Below are 20,525 nucleotides of genomic sequence, written 5' to 3' on the forward strand. Positions count from 1 at the left end.
TGCCATGTCAGTTTACCATTGCCATGACAACACCCTGAAGTTATGGCCCCTTTCTGTGGCAATGACCTGACAACTTGGAGGATGCCACCCTCATTCTAGAAATTTCTGCATAAACTGCCCATTAATTTGCATATACTTAAAAGTGGGTATAGGGCCAGACACAGTGGCTCATGCCTAGAATCCCAGCACTTTAGGAGGCCGAAGTGGGTGGACTGCTTGAGGTCAGGAGTTCGAGACCAGCCTGACCAACATGGTGAAACCCCGTCTCTACTAAAAATACAAAAATTAGCCGGAGTGGTGGCGGGTGCCTGTAATCCCATTTACTTAGGAGGCTGAAGCAGAAGAACCACTTGAACCCAGGAGGTGGAGACTGTAGTGAGCTGAGACTATACCACTGCACTCCAGCCTGGGTGACAAAGTGAGACTCTGTCTCAAAATAAATAAATAAAAATAAAAATAAAATAAAATCAGTATAAACAGGAATGCAGAACTGCCTCTGAGTTGCTGCTCTGGGCACACTGCCTACAGGGTAGCCCTGCTCTGCAAGGAGCAGTAGCTCTGCTGCTGCCGGGTACTGCGGCTTCAATAAAAGTTGCTGTTTAACACCACCAGCTCACGCTTGAATTCTTTACTGGGTGAAGCCAAGAATCCTCAATTTTGGCGCTTTCCTGTCCTGCATCAGTCTCCTGCTCCTAGGAGTTCACCCTTGTTTGTTTGTTCGTTTTGAGGCGGAGTTTCGCTCTTGTCGCCCAGGCTGGAGGGTCCTCTTCTCCTGAACCTCAAAAAGGAGCCTAACCTTGAGGTACTGATCTATGTATGTGGATGAGAAGTGTTAGTAAAGATAATTGAGGCCAGGTGTGGTGGTTCACGCTTCTAATCTTTGAGAAGCTGAGGAAGGCAGAGCGCTTGAGTCCAGGACTTCGAGACCAGCCTGGATAACATGGCAAAAATCCGTCTCTACAAAAAAATGCCAAAAAATTAGCCAGGCGTGGTGGTGTGTGCTTGTAGTCCCAGCTACTTGGGAGGCTGAGGTGGGAGGATTGCCTGAGCCTGCGAGGTTGAGGCTGCAGTGAGCTGAGATTGCGCCACTACACTTCAGCCTGGGCAACAGAAGGAGACTCTATCTCTAAATAAATAAATAAATACGATTGGGTTGAAATCTAGAGACCTAAGTTATAGTCCCAGCTCAGCCACTAATCTGAGAATGGTTAACATTTATTTAAAATTTCCTATGTGCCAGTCACTTTTTAAATTAATTTGCTATGCTGTAAGTAGGAGGGTACTGTTATTATGTTCATTTTACAGACAAGGACATGGAGGCAGAGAGCACTTAAATAACTGGCAAATTACACGGTTAGGGGCACACAGAGTCCAGTTGTGCAACAGAGGCAATCTGGCTGGTAGTACTTCCTGATAACAGAAGCTTTCATTGCTAACATACTATGTGGCAGATTCTGTACTGTGTGTTTTTGTTTGTTTGTTTTTTTGAGACAGGGTCTCACTCTGTGGCACAATGATCATGGTTCACTGCAGCCTCGGCCTTCTGAGCTCAAGTGATCCTCCCGCCTCTGCCTCCGCCTCCTGAGTAGCTGGGACTACAGATGTGCGACACAGCACCTGGCAAATTTTTAAGTATTTTCTTCAGACTGAAACATCATTGTGTTAAAGATAAAAAAGTAAAAAATATTCTTGTAGAGATAGGATCTCACTGTTGTCCAGATTGGTCTCAAATTTTTGAGCTCAAGCCATCCTCCTGCCTTGGCCTCCCAAAGTGCTGGCATTACAGGGTGAGTCACCATGCCTAGTCTGTACTGTTTTCCTGGCAATGTTATCTCATTCAATCTTCGTGAATAACCCTAAGGTAGATATGATACCAATTTTTCAGGTGAAAAAAACTAATCGGCAGGATGAAACTTCGTAAACAGCCTGTGGCTCCAAAAGCTTCTGGAAGGCTCAAGCTACCCATGTGCATCTTTGAGCCTCAGTTTCCCCATCTTTAAAATGAGGGGTTTGGAATAGATGTCTGTTCTCTGGGGCAGGATGCAGAGGAAAGAGCTGTCTGCGAATGGGCAAGAGAGAAGGTGGGTAAATACAGTTAAACCACAGTGACCGAGGGCCCAGCACAACGGGGGTGGGTGCGGTTACAAATGCCGTTAAGATTCCCGCCAAGGCGGAGGACGGGGGTGTCAGAGCCGAGCGAGGCCTGTGGGCGAGAATAGGCCTGACAGCCATTCTCCGACCTGCGTGGGCGCTGCAGGCGCAGGCCAGAGGCCAAGGGAGAGGCGATCCCTGGGGCTCTGCCCGGGTCTCAGGACGGCACCTCACCCGCCCGAGTCCTGCTCCACAGGATTCTCCGGGTAAGCTAGGGAAGGAAGAGGCGCGGCCTCCTGAGCCCGCATCTCAGAGCGCCACGTCCCTCCTGGCTCAGCCTCCCACCAGGCTCCACAGCTTCGGCCCTCCTCACCGCCCGCCTCCAGGCTCCCCGGCGCGGCCTTGTCCCTGCTCCCGCCAATCGGCGTCGTCAGCAATCGCGAACCGGACCAATCAGCGGCCGCAGAGTGTGGGAACTGTCGCCATGGCAGCCAGGAGGCGGGCGCGCGCGGCGGGAGGAGGGGCAGAGCGGAGCGGTGGGCCGGGGGCTGGAGGACAGGTTTGTGCGCTGGACGCAAGCACCAGGCGCAGCCTCGCTCGCCGAGACCCGGCCAGGTAAGGCCGGTGGCCGCGCGGTAGGTGCGGAGCAGCGCGGCGGGAGATTAGGGGTGGGGGAGTCCGGAGATAAGGCTCCGGTCTTCGCCTGCCTTGCCAGAGCAGAGAGGATGGTGGGGGCCGTGCTGTGGGCGGGGCACCGGCGGGGAGGGGGCTCCCAGCGCGAGCCGGAGGCGCTGGGTTCCCTCTGCTCCACTCGCAGCTGGGCACCCGAGCTTTCTTCGGGGTCGAGGAGGGTGGCTGGCTCTTGGCGGGGAGCAGGAGAGGGTAGGTGCCAAACCGAGACCCTGGCGGGGTCCCTTCGGGTTTGGGCAGGTCGATGGGCAAGGGGGTGCCCACTAGTGAGGAGGGACACCCACCAATTCCAGGCGATGCTCCCCTGTGCCGCTCAGCAAAGCTAGGCCCGGGGATCCTGCTCTTCTCCGGTCTGGTTAAGCCAGCAACCTCTGACACTTAGGAGAAAGTTAGTGTAAGTCGTGATATGCTTTTCACTTAAGTGACAAATTAGGTACGAGATGAACCCTTTTGGTTTTAGGAGATGAGAAACAGTATTTCCTTGTTGCACCTGCTAAGTGGCAACTCAGTGAGCAAATATGGTTATTGTGGTTGGTGTTTGCAACGGTCTTAGATGACAGTTATTTTACAGTATCAAATGGCTGGGAGAGGGAGGGAAAGAAGGAGAGAGAGAGAGAGAATATGAGGGAATGAGAATGAACGGGAACCATTATGATTTTTGAGAGACAGAACCTCTTGAAATTCTATGTCTGCTAAACTTCTAAATTGAATAATGTACATTTTATGCAATTGAATAAGCTAGTGCTACCATTTAAGCCTGCTACTAAGGCTCTGTTAAATCCGTGGACGAATATGAACACTAAAAGATATTACCTTGGTTTAAAAATAGGGGAGGTTAAATGCAAATATTTCTGATAGTGAATTTTGTTTGAGGGAGATTGTGGACTTTCCCTATGGGAAAGTTAAAGAATTGATGAGATAGATGCTTTAAGGAATGTTTTTGTTTTTTGAAACTTGAATAAGTTCAACAAATGTTGAACAAATATTTCAACAAATCTTCTTCAGCTAATAGGGTCAAAAATTAAAATTCTGGAAATTTAGAATTAGAAATGAAATCTCAAATAATGTCACTCTCCTAATTAGGATGAACATGGAAACTTCTATTTCTCATCGTGGTCTTCAAGCTTTCCATGATCTCATCTACCTTTGTAGTAGGGGGTCAAATTTTTTTTTTAACTAGACAATTTTAGAAACTTAAAGGAGGCAAAAATTTATTTCTGTCTCCGTGTGTTTACTCATGCTCTTCTCTATCCAAATTTTACCCATCTTTTTTTTTTTTTTTTTTTTTTTGAGATGGAGTCTCACTCTGTCACCCAGGCTGGAGTGCAATGGCCCGATCTCAGCTCACTGCAGCCTCCGCCTCCCGGGTTCAAGGGATTCTCCTACCTCAGCCCATCGAGTAGCTGGGATTACAGGGACCCACCACCACAGCCAGCTAATTTTTTGTATTTTTATTAGAGACGAAGTTTCACCATGTTGGCCAGGCTGGTCTCGAACTCCTGACCTCAGGTGATCCACTTGCCTTGGCCTCCCAAAGTGCTGAGATTACAGGTGTGAGCCACCGTGCCTGGACGACCCATGTTCTAAGAGTCGAATCTGTCTATGTTGTGTTTACCTTTCTTTGCTCTCCCAAGGTACATATTGTTCATATCACGTATTTTGTATATATTCTTTCAGCATGCTTTTTGCCAAGTTGGTTTGCGCTCTGTGAATAACAGTTGAGATAAAATGCACAATTAAGACAATTAAGGTACTTTTCAAGACACAACTAATTATGGGCACTAATATCAATAACATCAATTCAGATGTCTTTTTTGTTTTGGGATATGTTATTAATCTCTGAACACATACTAAACTAATTTTGCATTACTTAGAATAATATGTAAATTACTTTCCACTTTCTAAGGACCCTTTTGAAGGCTGGGTTCTACAAAATACCCTTTTGAGTACTGGGTAGCTGGCAGAAGCAAGTGCAGGATTTAAAAATGTATTGAAAATAATCCTTTAGGCCGGGCATGGTGGCTAATGCCTGTAATCCCAGCACTTTGGGAGGCTGAGGCGGGTGGATCACTTGAGTCCAGGAGTTCAAGACCAGCCTGGCCAACATGGTGAAACCCCGTCTTTACTAAAAATACAAAAATTAGCCAGACGTAGTGGCGGGCATCTGTAATCTCAACTACTCAGGAGGCTGGAGCAGGGGAATCGCTTGAACCTGGAGGCGGAGGTTGCAGTGAGCCGAGATCGCGCTATTGCACTCCAGCCTGGGCAACTAGAGTGAAACTACGTCTCAAAAACAAAACAAAAAACAGGCTACTAACAATTTCAAATAATTTATTCAAGGAAAAACTTCAATCACTTTCATTATTTCCAATCAAAAATTTTTTTTACAACCATGATGTGGTGAAAAGTATACTTAGTTAGAATTTCATGGCCAGATTCCAGTACGGGCTCTGCCAAACGAACTTGGCCAAGTCAGTTAACTTCCTTCTGTATTTATAACCTTTTATAAAAGTAGGGCTGAATTAGATTACAGTAGTCCTCCTTTATCCTAGAGGGATATGTTCCAAGGGTCCCAATGGATGCCTGAAACTACAGGTAGTACCAACCCTTATATACGCTATGTTTTTTGCTATACATACATAATAATAAAATGAATAACAGTAATACACTGAAATGAAAGTTATATGAATGTGATCTTTCAAAATATCTTGTTTTACCTCAGGTAATTGAAACTGCAGAAAGTGAAATCGCAGATTAGGGAGGACTACTGTACCTCCAAGATTATTTCTGATCTTAGAATTCTCTGATTCTAAAATCCTAAAGCAGCCTAATAGAAGTTCAGATAGTAGTTACTTGATTTTATTTTTGGCAGAGCATTTTTTTTTTTTTTTTTTTTTTTTGAGACAGGGCCTCACTCTGTTGCCCAGGCTGACTGGAGTACAGTGGTGTGATCATGGCTCACTGCAGCCTGGAACTGCCAGGCTCAAGTGATCCTCCTACCTCAGCCTCCTGAGTAGCTAGGACTAAAGGAGCATGCCACCACACCCTGCTAATTTTTAAGTATTTTTTTGTAGAGAAGAGGCCTCGCCATGTTGTCCAGGCTGGTCTCAAACTTCTAGGCTCAAGCGATCTGCCTGTCTTGGCCTCCCAAAGTGCTGGAATTACAGGCATGAGCCACTACACCTGGCCTTGGCAGAGTTTTTTTTGGCAGTGTATTTTAATTATCTGAAGTACAGTATATGTAAATAATAAAGAGATTATAATTTTAATAATATGTTTATTGAGTGATACAGATCTGTTTTTCATAAGCCTATAATCTAGGATACTCCAATCCGTTGTTAAGACTGGAAAAAAAGGAGATATAATAGTTTCATTGATGAGTGTCCTTTTCTACAGATGTAGACAACAGAGGCTCTAAGATCTATACTAATGTCTTGATCAGGGAAAAGCTGGAGTCCAACTCAGCTGGTCATACACTTGATATTTTATTTGAACCTCACTTTCCTGTTGACTTTCATTTTCAAAGGGAAAATGGAGGTGAGCACCAGGTTATCTGTGGCCTTTGAAACTGGTGCCATGGAGAAACTCAAAAGCCGTTTATTTTTCTTCACCCTACCCTGTTTCATCATTAGATTTGTGACATTGATAGTAAGAAGAAGCAATCCACGTTTCCTAGCTCAAGGCAGTGTCTTAGAGAAGGAAACCTGAGTCTCTTGCTACAGTTCTGATTTAAGGTTGGAAGGAAGAGATTATGTTGGATGCATTGCTTTCATTGGTCTATGATTGCATCAGGACTTTGGTTCTGGCAATGTTCAGAGAAGAGCTCTAATGTGGCCTTTCAAAAATGACTGTAAGACCGGGCATGATGGCTCAGGCCTGTAATCCTTGGACTTTGGGAGGCTAAGGTGAGCAGATCACTTGAGCTCACAGGTTTGAGACCAGCCTGGGCAACATGGTGAAATCCCATCTCTACCAAAAATATTAAAAACTAGCTGGGCGTGGTGGTGCGTGCCTGTAGTTCCAGCTACTCTGGAGGCTGAGGCGGAAGGATGGCTTGAGCCTGGGAGGTGGAGGTTTTGATGAGCTGAAATAGCGCCAATGTACTCCAGCCTGGGTGGTAGAGTCAGACCCTGTCTCAAAAAACAAAAACGAAAACAAAAATTACTTTTAAAGTTGTATGTCAAACTGGTCTTGCTTGCTTTTTGTGTCGTTAATTTTTATTTATTTATTTTATTTATTTTTTTTAGACAGGGTCTTTCTCTGTCATCCAGGCTGGAGTACATTGGTATGCATGGCTCGACCTCCTGGGCTCAAGCAACCCTCCCATCTCAGCTTCCTGAGTAGCTGGGACTACAGGTGCACACCACTACACCCAGCTAATTTTTTGATTTTTTTTTGTAGAGGTGGGGTTTCACCATGTTGCCCAGGCTTGTTTTGAACTCCTGGGCTCAAGTGATCCACCCGCCTCAGCCTTTCAAAGTGCTGGGATTATAGGTGTGAGCCACCATGCCCAACCTGGTCTTGCTTTTTAAGTTCTACCACTTTGGGTGTTTACAGAACAGATTTTCATATTTCTTTATGTTTCCTTTTCAAGACAAGAAGGGCATTAATATTTATTGAGCAATTACCATTGTCATGCACTGTGCTGGTTACTTTGTATTCATTCTTATTTTCCTCGCATCAACAAACCTGTGAAGAGGTATGAGCTCAGTTTTCTAGGTAGGAAAATCAAGACTCAGAGGCAAGTAGCTTGCGAGTAAATGGGGGAAGTTAGGATTTAATCTCCTGTTTGTGTGTTTATTTTTTACCATGTTGTGTCAATAAAAGTCATATAACTTTCCAAAATACAACATGCATGTGATTACTCTCCTGCATAGATTATTTTATGTTAAATATACCATATGTAAAACAAGAAATACATGTCTCCTTAAAATTTGAAAATATTTTATTTGCTTTTTTTTTTAACAGACTACTTAGAAATAACTGCTTATGTTTACTAATGAGTTTGCACATGAGCTGATTTATGTTTTACATGTTATTTGGTGGGGTTTCAAAAAAGAATTTGAAATATTTCATCTTATTACTGATCTCTGTGACAAACTAGGAACAAAGTTAATTTTTTTAAATTGGTGGTAAGAGTAAAGAAAAATTCCAGTTAAGGATTTAACAGGAAAAGTTGCCCTATATCTTGAAGTCTCATTGCTGAAAAAAATAAGCTTTTAATCTGAATTCCTCCTAGTTATTCAAGAGTGGAGGAATACAGGAAAATTTGGGCATAATAAATCTATATCTATATCTATATATCTATATCTATATCTATCTATCTATCTATCTATATATATATATATATATATATTTTTTTTTTTTTTTCCCAAGACAGAGTCTCGCTCTGTCACCCAGGCTGGAGTGCAGTGGCATCATTTCGGTTCACTGCAACCTCTGCTTCCCAGGTTTAAGCGATTCTTGTGCCTAAGCCTCTTGAATAGCTGGAACTACAGGCACCTGCCACTATGCCCGGCTAATTTTTGTATTTGTTTAGTAGAGATGGGGTTTTACCACATTGGGCAGGCTGATCTTGAACTCCTGACCTCAGGTGATCTCTCCACCTCGGCCTCCCAAAGTGCTGGGATTACAAGCAGGAGCCACCGTGCCCGGCCAACATCTTTGTTTATTCCGGTTTTTGATTCTGTTTATTTCATGTATCTTTCTCCCCTCCTTAATGGAATATGATATAATTTAGTCTCCTTCCACATCATAAAAATTTGGCACTTTTCACATTATGTGACAAATGCATACACTATCATGTACCATTACCACTGTAAAAAGTCTAAATTTTGTGATTTTGTGTCTTTTATTTATTTATTTTTATTTTTTTTTACATTTAGAACGTGTTACGAGTCAGTTTTTAGTGAAAAAACATTGAGCTAGGAGCCAAGACCCATCTCTTCACTATTTTGGTATTGTGCAAGTCATCTTACCTCTCTGGATCTCAGTTGTCTCATCTGTAAAAAGGAGATAAAAATTATTTACCTGCCTGAACGTAAGTACTCAATAATTGCATTTGGTTGCAAAGAAACATGACTATCACTACCACCACCACCAAAATACAAAAAAGGAAAAACCAAAAACGAACTCACAGATGGCTTAAACATGCAATATTTATTTTTTATATAAAATAATAATTGAAATAGCACTCTAGGATGGGTATAGTGGCTTTATAAAGTCATCAGAGACTTAAGCTTCTTTCAGTTCTTTTATCAGTGATCCCTAAGACATTCTTGTAGTACTGGTTCTTGTATGTCCAAGATAGCTGCCAGAGCTCTAACCATCACTGTCATGTTCCAGGCAGCAAAGCATAGGCGAAGAAAGATGCATCCTCTTCCTTTAAGGAGAATTCCTGAACCAAGGCTGAGGCTATAAGAAAGCAGGGAAATGTAGCTGACTGCATGTCTGCCCTCTATAAAATTGGGCTTTTGTTACTGAGAAGGAAGGAAAGATTTGGATATTGGCAAGCAAATAGAAGTGTCTGCCATGATATGAATCTTTTTATCTTTCAGCTCTGAAATCTGTAAGCTGTGATAACCACTCATAGAAGCTTCTATAATTTGCCATGGCAGAGATATAAGTCTGACTATTAACTACAGAAGGAAATAATCTTCATGTAATAAATTGTGTTTCTGTTTTTACTTTTAGCCCTTAATTCATTATAGAAGCTTTTCTGTCTTATTTGTGGATTTGTTCTGGTTATTTTTTAAAATTACCCATAAATGCTCAATAGATGTTTGTTGTACATTTTATGGTTGTGTTAAAAAGAGCTAACATTTATTGAGCTACTTGCTATAATCAAGGCACTAAAATGACAGAGATAAGTTATCCCAAGGGTATCACATAACTAATCATCAGGAAGTAAATTTATATTGAAAGTAAATATAATTCATCTCAAGATACATTTCACTATGGTCACATGAGGAACACTTGCCTTCCTTGCTAGCTAAAAGTAGTTTGTTCTTTTTCTTTCCTTTCTTCTTTTTTTAACCACTTAACTGTTAGTTGTCTTGAAATTTTCTCTTACTACTAGTTCTTGCTTAACTTATTTAGCCACACCAATATTTTATTTCCTTCCAGACTTTTATTTTTTTTGTTGAGACGGAGTCTCACTCTTTCACCCACGCTGGAGTGCAATGGCTTAGTGCAACCTCTGCCTCCTATGTTCAAGCGATTCTCCTGCCTCAGCCTCCTCAGTAGCTGGGACTACAGGCATCCACCACCACACCCAACTAATTTTTGTATTTTTAGTAGAGATGGGGTCTCACCATGTTGGCCAGGGTGGTCTTGAACTCCTGACCTCAGGTGATCTGCCTGCCTCAGCCCCCTACAGTGATGGGATTACAGGAGTGAGCCACCGTGCCCAGCCCCTTCCAGACTTTTCTTTGTGAATATTATATAAATATACCCTATACTTGTCCTGCAAAATGGTTCAATTGTCATTATTTCTATTTCAAAAGTAAACTGAAATAAATAGCTTTGAGAAAAAGAAATTCAGGGAATGGAAATTGGAGTGAGAAAGATTCTAAAGATTCAGTCAATCTTTTAGAGTTTTTAGAAGGGAGACAGTAAGTTAAGATTTTATTTCTACACAGTATATTTGTATTTTTGAAAGTTTTTACATTTTTTGGTTGTATTAGATAGGCACAAAGTACAGTAGTTCTTTTGCTGCTAGTATTGCAGTTTCCTTTTTTCTGATCTAGACTTGTTGACCTCAAACAAAATAATCAGGAGACTTGTGACCATAAAAACAACCCAGTTTTTAAGAGACATTTAACGTTATAAATCACCTGACTGAGAATGTCTGTTTGGTGAATACCATTTTCATGACTTTTAATTTTTTTTAATTAACAGAAAAGTATCATGCTATGCATTGTTTTGTAAGCAGCATTTTAAAAATTGCAATTGTATTTAATAGCTTACCTTCCTCACTAGATTGAAGCCCTGTGAGGGTAAGGACTATGTCGATCTCGCTTACCTTTGTCTTCTAGCATAGTATCTGGTACCATAGTCATTACTTAATACATAAATATTAGTTTAGTTTTGTTTTTAGAAACAAAGTCTCAATACATACATACATACATACATACATACTTATAATAGGTTAAAGGAAACATGCTTCAATTCAGCCATTAATTGAAAAGGAAGAGGGGCAAAAGAAGAGGGTTGAGGAAGATGGAAAAAGATACATAAAAGAGGCTGGGCGCGGTGGCTCATGCCTGTAATCCCAGCACTTTGGGAGGCCAAGGCGGGCAGATCACAAGGTCAGGAGATCAAGACCATCCTGGCTAACATGGTGAAACCCCGTCTCTACTAAAAACATACAAAAAAATTAGCCGGGCGTGGCTGGGTGAGGTGGCTCACGCCTATAATCCCAGCACTTTGGGAGGCCGAGGCGGGCGGATCACGAGGTCAAGAGATCGAGACCAGCCTGGACAACATGGTGAAACCCTGTCTTTACTAAAAAAAACACAAAAAATTAGCCAGGCATGGTGGCATGCGCCTGTAGTCCCAGCTACTTAGGAGGCTGAGGCAGGAGAATTGCTTAAACCCAGGAGGCGGAGGTTGCAGTGAGCTGAGATTGCACTACTGCACTCCAGCCTGTGCAACAGAGCGAGACACTGTCTCAAAAAAAAAAAAAAAAAATTAGCTGGGCGTGGTGGCGGGCACCTGTAGTCCCAGCTACTCAGGAGGCTGAGGCAGGAGAATGGTGTGAACCCGGGAGGCGGAGTTTGCAGTGAGCCAAGATCGCGCCACTGCACTCCAGCCTGGGTGACAGAGTGAGACTCCGTCTCAAAAAAAAAAAAAAAAAAAAAAAGATATATAAAGGAGGAACAGAGACTACTTCCAAGGAAAGAGAAAATTTTCAGTTTTCTGTACTTTTCACCCTGGTTATCTATGGTAATTTTTTTTAACCACTTCCAGGATATCTTGCCCAACAATCAAAACAGGAAACCATCACACATACATGCGCGCACGTGTGCGTACACACACACACACACACACACACACACACACAAAGCAAACTTAATCTGTATAACTATGGGTATAAATCAGTAGCTAAGAAATCTGCCTCTGTGTATGAATGGAAATTTTATTTTTTGAGACATGTTCTCACTCTGTCACCCTGGCTAGAGTGCTGTGGCGTGACCATGGCTCACTGCAGCCTCAACCTGCTGGGCTCAGGTGATCTTCCCACCTCATCCCCCACCAAGTAGCTGGGACTACAGGCATGTGCCACCATGCCCAACTAATTTTTGTATTTTTTGTAGAGACAGAGGTTTCACCATATTGCTCAGGCTGGTCTTGAACTCCTGGGCTCAAGGAATCCACCCTCCTTGTCCTCACAAAGTGCTGGGATTATAGGCAGGAACCTCCGTGCCCAGCAGAATAGAAATTTTGACTTGGTTGAGACAGGGGAAGAGAGATTAGCTTTCTTTTAGGACTTTAAAATTTAAGGAAATTATATCTACTGAATACTAAGAGAAGCTTAAGAACTCTGCTTACTTTGTAATTTTACCAGAGGCTCTGATGCCTTTGGGGTCAGTGCCTCCCATTCTGTCTTGAGATGACTACATAATTTAGAATTTCACACCATCCTACTTTAGAGAGTAAATTATCAGCCTGTCCTGGTTTGGATGAGTCTACTGTTTCAGCCTGGTTCAGCCCAGTGTCTCCTCTTTAGGTCCGTATCTCTCTTATGAAAGAAGAGGGTGATAAAGGAAAGGAGAAGGCCATTCTTACTGACCTGATAGTGGAAGAAAAGTAGGTTAGTTCTCCTTCTTCCTATTGCCTGTCCTTATCACTCATCTCTTTCTTCTATATGGATATTTGTATATTTTCTCATTCATGAAAATCTGTAAACCTAGTAAATTTGCTGTTATTCCTTTAATGCAGACACATTTGACATCTTGGCATTTAAAGAGACTTTTGTGTCATTATTTTTCTGCCTAATGTGCTGGAATACTTACCATTTTTTTTTTAAATACAGTTGATGTTTATGGAGGCCTTATTAAGAATTAGAGTCAGTGTTTAAATTAATTGTCCTAGTTATGTCTAGAATAAGCACTAACAGATTAGAAACTAGTAGAAAACATTCTCCATCAATCAAAAATAAATTTAAAAGGCAAGAAAGGAGAGGAAATAAATGTTAAAGAGGTAGGATAAATAGAAAGCCCTACCAGCCTGAGCAACATAATGAAACCACAACTCTACCAAAAAAAAATATATATATATATCACCACGCATGGTGGCTTGCTTGTGGTCCCAGCTACTTGAGAAGCTGAGGCAAGAGGATCTCTTGAGCCCAGGAAATCAAATTTGCAGTGAGCTGTGAGCTCACCACTGCACTTCAGCCTGGGTGGCAGAATGAGAACCTGTCTCAAAAAACAAAAAAGCCCTATAGAAGGTGGTAGATTTAAAAATCAAGATATGGTATTAAGGCCGGGCGTGGTGGCTCACACCTGTAATCTCGGCACTTTGGGAGGCTGAGGTGGGCAGATTGGTTGAGGTTAGGAATTTGAGACCAGCCTGGCCAACATGACAAAACCCTGTCTCTACTAAAAATACAAAAAATTAGCAGGGCATGGTGGCGCACACTTGTAGTCCTAGCTACTCAGGAGGCTGAGGCAGGAGAATCGCTTGAACCTGGGAAGTGAAGGCTGCAGTGAGCCAAGATTGCACCACTGCATTCTAGCCTGGGCAACAGAGCAAAACTCCACCTCAAAAAAAAAAAAAAAAAAAAGATACGTTATTAAATCAACTTTAAGGGCTAGATGTGGTGGCTCACTCCTGTAATCCCAGCACTTTGGGAGGCCAAGTTGCATGGATCACTTGAGGTCAGGAGTTTGAGACCACCTTGGCCAACATGGTGAAACCCAATCTCTACTAAAAATACAAAAATTAGCCGGGTGTGGTGGTACCCACCTGTAATCCCAGCTACTTGGGAGGCTGAGGCAGGAATCGCTTGAACCCAGGAGGTGGAGGTTGCAGTGATCCGAGATCGCGGCACTGCACTCCAGCACGGGCAGTAGAGTGAGACTCTGTCTCAAAAAACAAAAAACAAAAATGGCTTGAAGAAATCACCATTCCTCTCCCCGGTAGAGAGAACAGTGTTGTATGGGAAAACACAAAAGGTAACAATTCAAGAAAGTGTTTAAAAATACTTGGACTACAAAGGTGAAGAAGTCCTTAGAATACCTTTATCAATTTATTTCGTTTAATTTCTTTATGTGTGCATAAAAATGATGTGAGAAAAATCTATGATATGCCTAAAAATACTTTCAGCAAACATAAGATAGAATTGTAAGTGAAAAAGCACGGTGGTGTAATTTAATTGGCAGCATTTTTTTCTATATAGTATACAATGGTGTGTCTTAATATCGATGGAATCTTTTATCCCACCCTGAGGTCTCTGTCACCCAGGCTGGAGTAAGGTGGCACAATCATAGCTCCCTGCAGCCTAGAACTCCTGGGTTCAAGCAGTCTTCTTACCTCAGCTTCCTGAATAGCTGGGATTACAGGTGCAAGCCACTGCACCCAGCCCAATGGAATCTTAAAGCCTATTTATTTTATTTTATCTTTTTCTTCTTCTTCTTCTTCTTCTTTTTTTTTTTTTTTTGAGACAGTCTCATTCTGTTGCCCAGACTGGAGTGCAGTGGCACAATCTTGGCTCACTGCAACTGCAACCTCTGCCTCCTAGGTTCAAGCCATTCTCCTGCCTCAGCCTCCCGGGTAGCTGGGACTACAGGCATGCGCCACCTCTCCAGGCTAATTTTCATATTTTTAGTAGAGATGGGGTTTCGCCATGTTGGCCAGGCTGGTTGCAAACCCCTGACCTATGGTGATCCACCCACCTCAGCCTCCCAAAGTGTTGGGATTACAGGCATGAGCCACCGTGCCTGGCCCTTAAAGTCTATTTAATAACATGTATATACACACACACACACACACACACACACACACACACACACACACACACACACACACACACACACACACACATATATATATATATTTTTTTTTTTTGAGATGGAGTTTTGCTCTGTTGCCCAGGTTGGAATACACTGGTGCAGTCTCGCTCACTGCAACCTTTGCCTCCCAGGTTCAGGAGATTCTCCTGCCTCAGCCTCCTGAGTAGCTAGGACTACAGGCGTGTGCCACCATGCCCGGCTAATTTTTTGTATTTTTAGTAGAGACAGGGTTTCATCATGTTGGCCAGGTTGGTCTTGAACTCCTAACCTCAACCAATCTGCCTGCCTTGGCCTCCCAAAGTGCTGGCATTACAGGCGTGAGCCACCACGCCCAGCCTCTTCATACCCTTTTGCTAGAGATTTTCTTCCAAGCACCCTATATTAATTTTACAAGCTTTACAAGCTTGGTGCTGGTGCTTTCTTCATCTTATCAGAAGATGATGACAGGAAGTTTTCAGATTCATAGTCTTTCCTCAAACTCTCCTTAAATGATTCATTGATGAAGACCTGGAGGGCTGGCCTTCATGAATCACACCAACTTGTATTACTTTTCAGGCAACCTATTCTTTATTCAGATACACGCTCTCAGAATGTATCAAGAACTAAACTAATAAACACACTTGTCAGGTTATGTAGTGCTCTTCAACATTCAAATCAGATTTAGCTACTCTTCCTTTAGCTCAGCCACCATCCATCAACCCCATACTTCTTAAAAATGCTTAATATAACATCTTGGGGGAAATCATTTTATAATTTAATGTTTAATATGGCAACAACTTTTGGCTGTAGGCATTTACAGCAATGTTACAGTGATTTGTTATTTTCTGACCATTCTCGTATCAATCTTTTTACCACCTTTAGCATTAATGTAGATTTTGAGGCATGTAAAAGAACATCAGGATTTTGTCAGAATTTCCTGTTGACTAAACTCAGCTTTATTTTTTCCTTAAACTATACTTTGCTGGAAGTTGTGCAGCTTCTGTTCAGTATTTTCAGGAAGTTCCTGACAAATTGACATTTGCATGAGTCCATCAATTCAGCCTCATGTTCCTTGAGTTTTTTTATTTATTGGAGGCATAGTTGGTTTCTGCTATCTTCATTTGCATTGTTTGGCTGCTGATAGGTAATCCTGTTGTGTTTTACTAACAAAACGTAACATGGCTTTGTCTACTTGCAGGTATCTTCCTGTCTAGAGTCAGGTAAAGCACTAGTTGTTCCTTTATAAGAAAGAGTAAAATTGCTGTTATTCCCCTAATATCAAGTATTTGCTTCACTAACATCAGCTGCTTTGTTTCTGTGCTTACAAAATAACTTTTCATTTTAATGCCAAATCATAGCTTAATGTTTATGAAGATATTTACAATGACAAGCACCAACAATGCAAAAACTCAATCTGAAGTTATGACAATAATAATAACTATAATAAAGTTCATGCATGTACACATAACAAAGACTATGTTGCTGTTGCTATGTGGCTAATTACAATTTTCATATTCCATTAATTGAGGCTGGGTATAGTAGCTTATGCCTCTAATCCCAGCACTTTGGGAGGCTGAGGCAAGAGGATTGCTTGAGCCCAAGAGTTTGAGACTGGCCTGGGCAACATGTTGAGACCCTGTCTCAAAAAACAATAAAAAAAATACTAATATGGTTGGGATATAAAGGTCAGTCATGAGATAAAAGATTAAATTTACTGTAAAGCTAGAAAATCTTAAGTTTATATATATATACCTAATATTTGAATAAAAATTAACAGAATTATAAGGAAAAAGAGACAAAATCATGATATAAGATTTTCATGTGCTTTTCTAGTGATTGTAGAACAAGCAAACAAAAATCATTGAGAACATAGAAAATGGGATAATTTTGAAAAATTATAAGCATGACTAGTGTAGAAGGTGAATAGTGGTTCATGAATTGTATTTTTAAAATTTTTCACATTTTATAAACTTGGATTTTTTTGCTCTATTTTTACTCCTTTTAAAAAAATTGAAATATGATTTACATATCATACAATTCTCTCTTTTATAGTATACAATTCACTGGCTTTTAGTATATTCATAAGGTTATGCAACCATCTCAACGATCTAATTTTAGAATATTTTCATCACCCCCAAAAGGAACCCTGTACCCATTTAGCACTTATTTCTCATTTCCCCTCCCTCCACCAGCAGCCCTCAACAACCTGTAATCTGCTTTCTTTCTCTGTGGATTTGCCTATTTTCCACATTTATATAAATTGAATCGTATAATATGTGTCCTCTTGCTTCTGGCTGTATTTACTATTAATCAGTTCTGTTGTATTTTATTTTTAAACAGATTTCTCCTTAAAAATATCAGTCTTGGCCGGGCACGGTGGCTCAGGCCTGTAATCCCAGCACTTTGGGAGGCTGAGGCGGGCAGATCACCTGAGGTCAGGAGTTCAAGACCAGCCTGGCCAACATGGTAAAATCCTGTCTCTACTAAAAATATAAAACTAGCTGGGCATGGTGGCCTACACCTGTAATCCCAGCTACTCTGGAGGCTGAGGCAGGGGAATCACTTGAACCCGGGAGGCAGAGGTTGCAGTGAGCCAAGATCATGCCACTGCACTCCAACCTGGGTGGCAGAGTAAGACTCTGCATCAAAAAAAAAAAAAAATCAGTCTTTTGTCCTTTAAAATTATCAAAAAGTGAAAGTTTTTGGCTTTGAAATGGCAGTCACAATTCATTGTCCTCTTTCTTGCAAAAGTTAAAAATAAATCCAGCTTGAATGAAATGTAAGTCTGACAATCTCTAAACCTGAAATCAAGGAGGAGCTTTGTTTCTGCTTCCACAGAAGCAAATTCTCAGTTTGATCAGAGAGGATAATGTTCCATATTTTGTTTCCAAAGTGTGAAACTTTCCTGGCTTTACATCATTTTTATTGTGTCTAGATATGAACTTTCTTTGCTAGTTCATTTTCCTTGTTGTTAATCTTTGTATCTCAGCAACCAGGCCTGCTATTTGCTTTACCAACATAATTTTAAGCTGGCTGAGTAAGCAATATTTAGTTTAAAGGCATTTACAAGTCATATAACTTAATCATTTTAAATGAATGGTGTGAATACAAGCAGCTTTTCTTTTTTTTTAATTTTATTTCTGTTTAGTATTTCTGATTACGTAACAGGAAAGATCTGTACTAAAAAGAATAAATAGATAATAGAATTTAAGTACTTAAGTAATACTAAGTTCAAGTTAAATTCTCTTATTTAAAATTTTTTTTATTTTTATAAATGAGGGAACTGAAGTGGGAAAAGTTAATTGGCTAACCTGTGATCATATAGCAAGTAAGTGGTGCAGCTGTAACTAGAATATAGATCTAAATTTAGTTCTGCCTTACTGCTTGGTGTAAAACCCACTTTCTATTTCTCCTTTTTTCCCACTTTCTATTTTTTAAAGATCCAAGTTTACCTTTGAGATGAGCATTCTCTTTCTGTCTCATTGTAGGTGAGGTTGGTAAATAATAGAGCAAAGGGAGGCAGTATGTTCTAGGGCAGTGGTTTTCAAATGTTGGCATGTATCAGAATCACCTATAGGGCTTATTAAAACAGATTGTGAGGCCCCCTACACCCAGAGTCTCTGATTTAGAAAATATGGAGTAGGCCTTGAGAATTCGCATTTCTAACAAATTCCCAGGTGATGCCAGTGCTGCTGGCCCAGGGACCATACTTTTGAGAACCACTCCTGAAAAGCCAACAAAGGCTTTGGAGTCAGTCACTCCCAGGTCTACACTCTAGCTGTATGACTGACTGCTGTGTGAACTAGAAGTGATATGTCTCAGTTTCTTGTACTTTGAAATGGGGATAATAATATTGACTTCACAGAGTCATTGTAAGAGTTGATGCGTTAATATATTTTAAAAGTTTAGCATACTGCTTGGTACATAGTAAACATTCAATAGATGGTTTCTGTTGTTATTTATAATAAGCATGGGGATCAATTAAATCTTTAGGAACCATAAATTCAGTTAGTGTTTTAAAGCAGTTTCTCAGAAACTTTTTGTGACTTTGTCACTTCAAGATGTTGTCAGCGGCTAGGTGCAGTGGCTCATGCCTGTAATTTCAGCACTTTGGGAGGCTGAGCTGGGTGGATCATCTGAGGTCAGGAGTTCGAGACCAGCCTGGCCAACATGGTGAAACCCCAGCTCTACCAAAAATACAAAAATTAGCTGGGCGTGGTGGTGGGTACCTGTAGTCCCAGCTACTCGGGAGGCTGAGGCAGGAGAATCGCTTGAACCCGGGAGGCAGAGGTTGCAGTGAGCCGAGATCGGGCCATTGCACTCTAGCCTGGGCGATAGAGCAAGACTCTGTCTCAAAAAAAAAAAAAAAAAAAGATGTTGTCAGGTGTTGTTAGGACATACACACACACACTCATGTATACAAACACATTCTCTTGACTTTCCTTCTTATTTATGGTAGTCTTGGCAGGAGAGGAAGAGAGCAGCAGAAGTGACAAAAACACGTGGAAGATATGGAAAAATTAGAACCCTCATTTATAGGTGGTGAGAATGTAAAATGATATAGCTGCTTTAGAAAACAGTTTGGCAGTTCCTCAAAAAGTTAAACTTAGAGTTACCAAACTGACTCAGCAATTCTACTCCTAGTTATATAACCAAAAGAATTGAAAACCTGTTAACAAAGTAACTTAAACACAAATGTTTACTGAAGTATTATTCAAAACTGCCTGAAAGAAACAATCCAAATGTCCATCAGTTCATGAATGGATAAACAAATATGGCATATGTATACAATGGACTATCTATTCAGCTATAAAAAAGAAATAAAGTCCTGATACTTGTTACAATGTTGTTGGACCTGGAAACATACTGCTAAGTGATAAAAGGCAGACACAAAAGGCTACATATTGTATAATTCCATTTATATGAAATGCCCAGAATAGGCAAATCTATACAGATAGAAAGTAGATTAGTGGTTGCCAGGGGATGGGAAAAAAGGGTAACAGTGAGTGACTGATAATGGGTATGGGGTTTCTTTTTGAGATGATGAAAATGTTTTAAAATTAGATAGTAGAGATGGTTGCACAGCCTTGTGAATATTCTAGAAAACACTGAATAGTATAATTTAAAACATTTTATGCCTTATGAGTTATATCTCAAAAAACCCAAAATGCACACCTATGTATGTGTGGACAAGAAGCATGAATGAATAATAAACCTTTTTTGTTATTAAAAGTAATTGTGGGGAAGAGGAGGTGATTCATAGTGAGAAGACATTCTGTGAAGTATACTACCCTATTAGAGATTCTAGTATCCTAGAGATGAGTGGATCTCAGGTTTTAGTATACATAGGAACCCCCTGGAACCCCCTGTTTGTTAAAACAGGTTCCTGGCCCCCACCCCAGAGGTCTTGGGTACAGCCTGAGAATTTGCATTTCTGATCTGCTTTCAGATGATCTTGTAAGATTTTGTAAGATTGAGAACTAAACTTTGGGTAGCATCTTTATAGATTAGACATATGCTGTACTTAAATGGGTGAATTTTATGACGTGAAGTATATCTCAATAAAGATGCTAAAAAATTGGCATAAAGATAGTAAAATGTAAGTTTTAGTGGTTTGTTAATGGCAAGACAATGCTCTGTAAGGGAATTGGTTTAATTATTAATTTCTTCATTTGTAAAATGTGTCACTCTCCTGTGTATGTACCACCTAGGGTTGTGGTGAAAATGGGGTTATGTGTTCTTTTCCAA

At 41.0% G+C, this 20,525-nt stretch overlaps 1 protein-coding gene across 53 annotated transcripts in view, besides 2 other annotated features; it reads left to right on the forward strand.

The window, feature by feature from the left end:
• Window positions 2,171-2,260: an enhancer, noted in NCBI's record as "active region_4487". NCBI's record gives its function as "activates an Ori minimal core promoter by ATAC-STARR-seq in GM12878 lymphoblastoid cells {active_cell/tissue: GM12878}" and the evidence as "EXISTENCE:reporter gene assay evidence [ECO:0000049][PMID:35858748]".
• Window positions 2,451-2,880: a silencer, noted in NCBI's record as "silent region_3183". NCBI's record gives its function as "represses an Ori minimal core promoter by ATAC-STARR-seq in GM12878 lymphoblastoid cells {active_cell/tissue: GM12878}" and the evidence as "EXISTENCE:reporter gene assay evidence [ECO:0000049][PMID:35858748]".
• The window catches only part of NUCB2 (nucleobindin 2), a 73,242-nt gene continuing 55,333 nt past the window's right edge, over window positions 2,617-20,525 (forward strand). For 4 of the 53 annotated variants that reach the window (XM_024448532.2, XM_024448550.2, NM_001352669.2 and 1 more), the window contains exons 1-3: window positions 2,617-2,706; window positions 8,667-8,821; window positions 12,512-12,595. Coding sequence is in view for 6 of the 53 variants with exons in the window: in XM_024448527.2 (XP_024304295.1) it covers window positions 17,241-17,243 (3 nt within the window). In the remaining 47 variants the exon portion in view is untranslated. Of the gene's footprint in view, window positions 2,731-2,900; window positions 3,176-8,666; window positions 8,822-12,511; window positions 12,596-17,117; window positions 17,244-20,525 lie in introns of those variants that run through there. The other 49 variants (XM_024448533.2, XM_024448551.2, NM_001352664.2 and 46 more) reach the window with 18 other exon arrangements.

This window comes from Homo sapiens, chromosome 11 (genome assembly GCF_000001405.40).
Source record: "Homo sapiens chromosome 11, GRCh38.p14 Primary Assembly".
Lineage (NCBI taxonomy): Eukaryota > Metazoa > Chordata > Mammalia > Primates > Hominidae > Homo > Homo sapiens.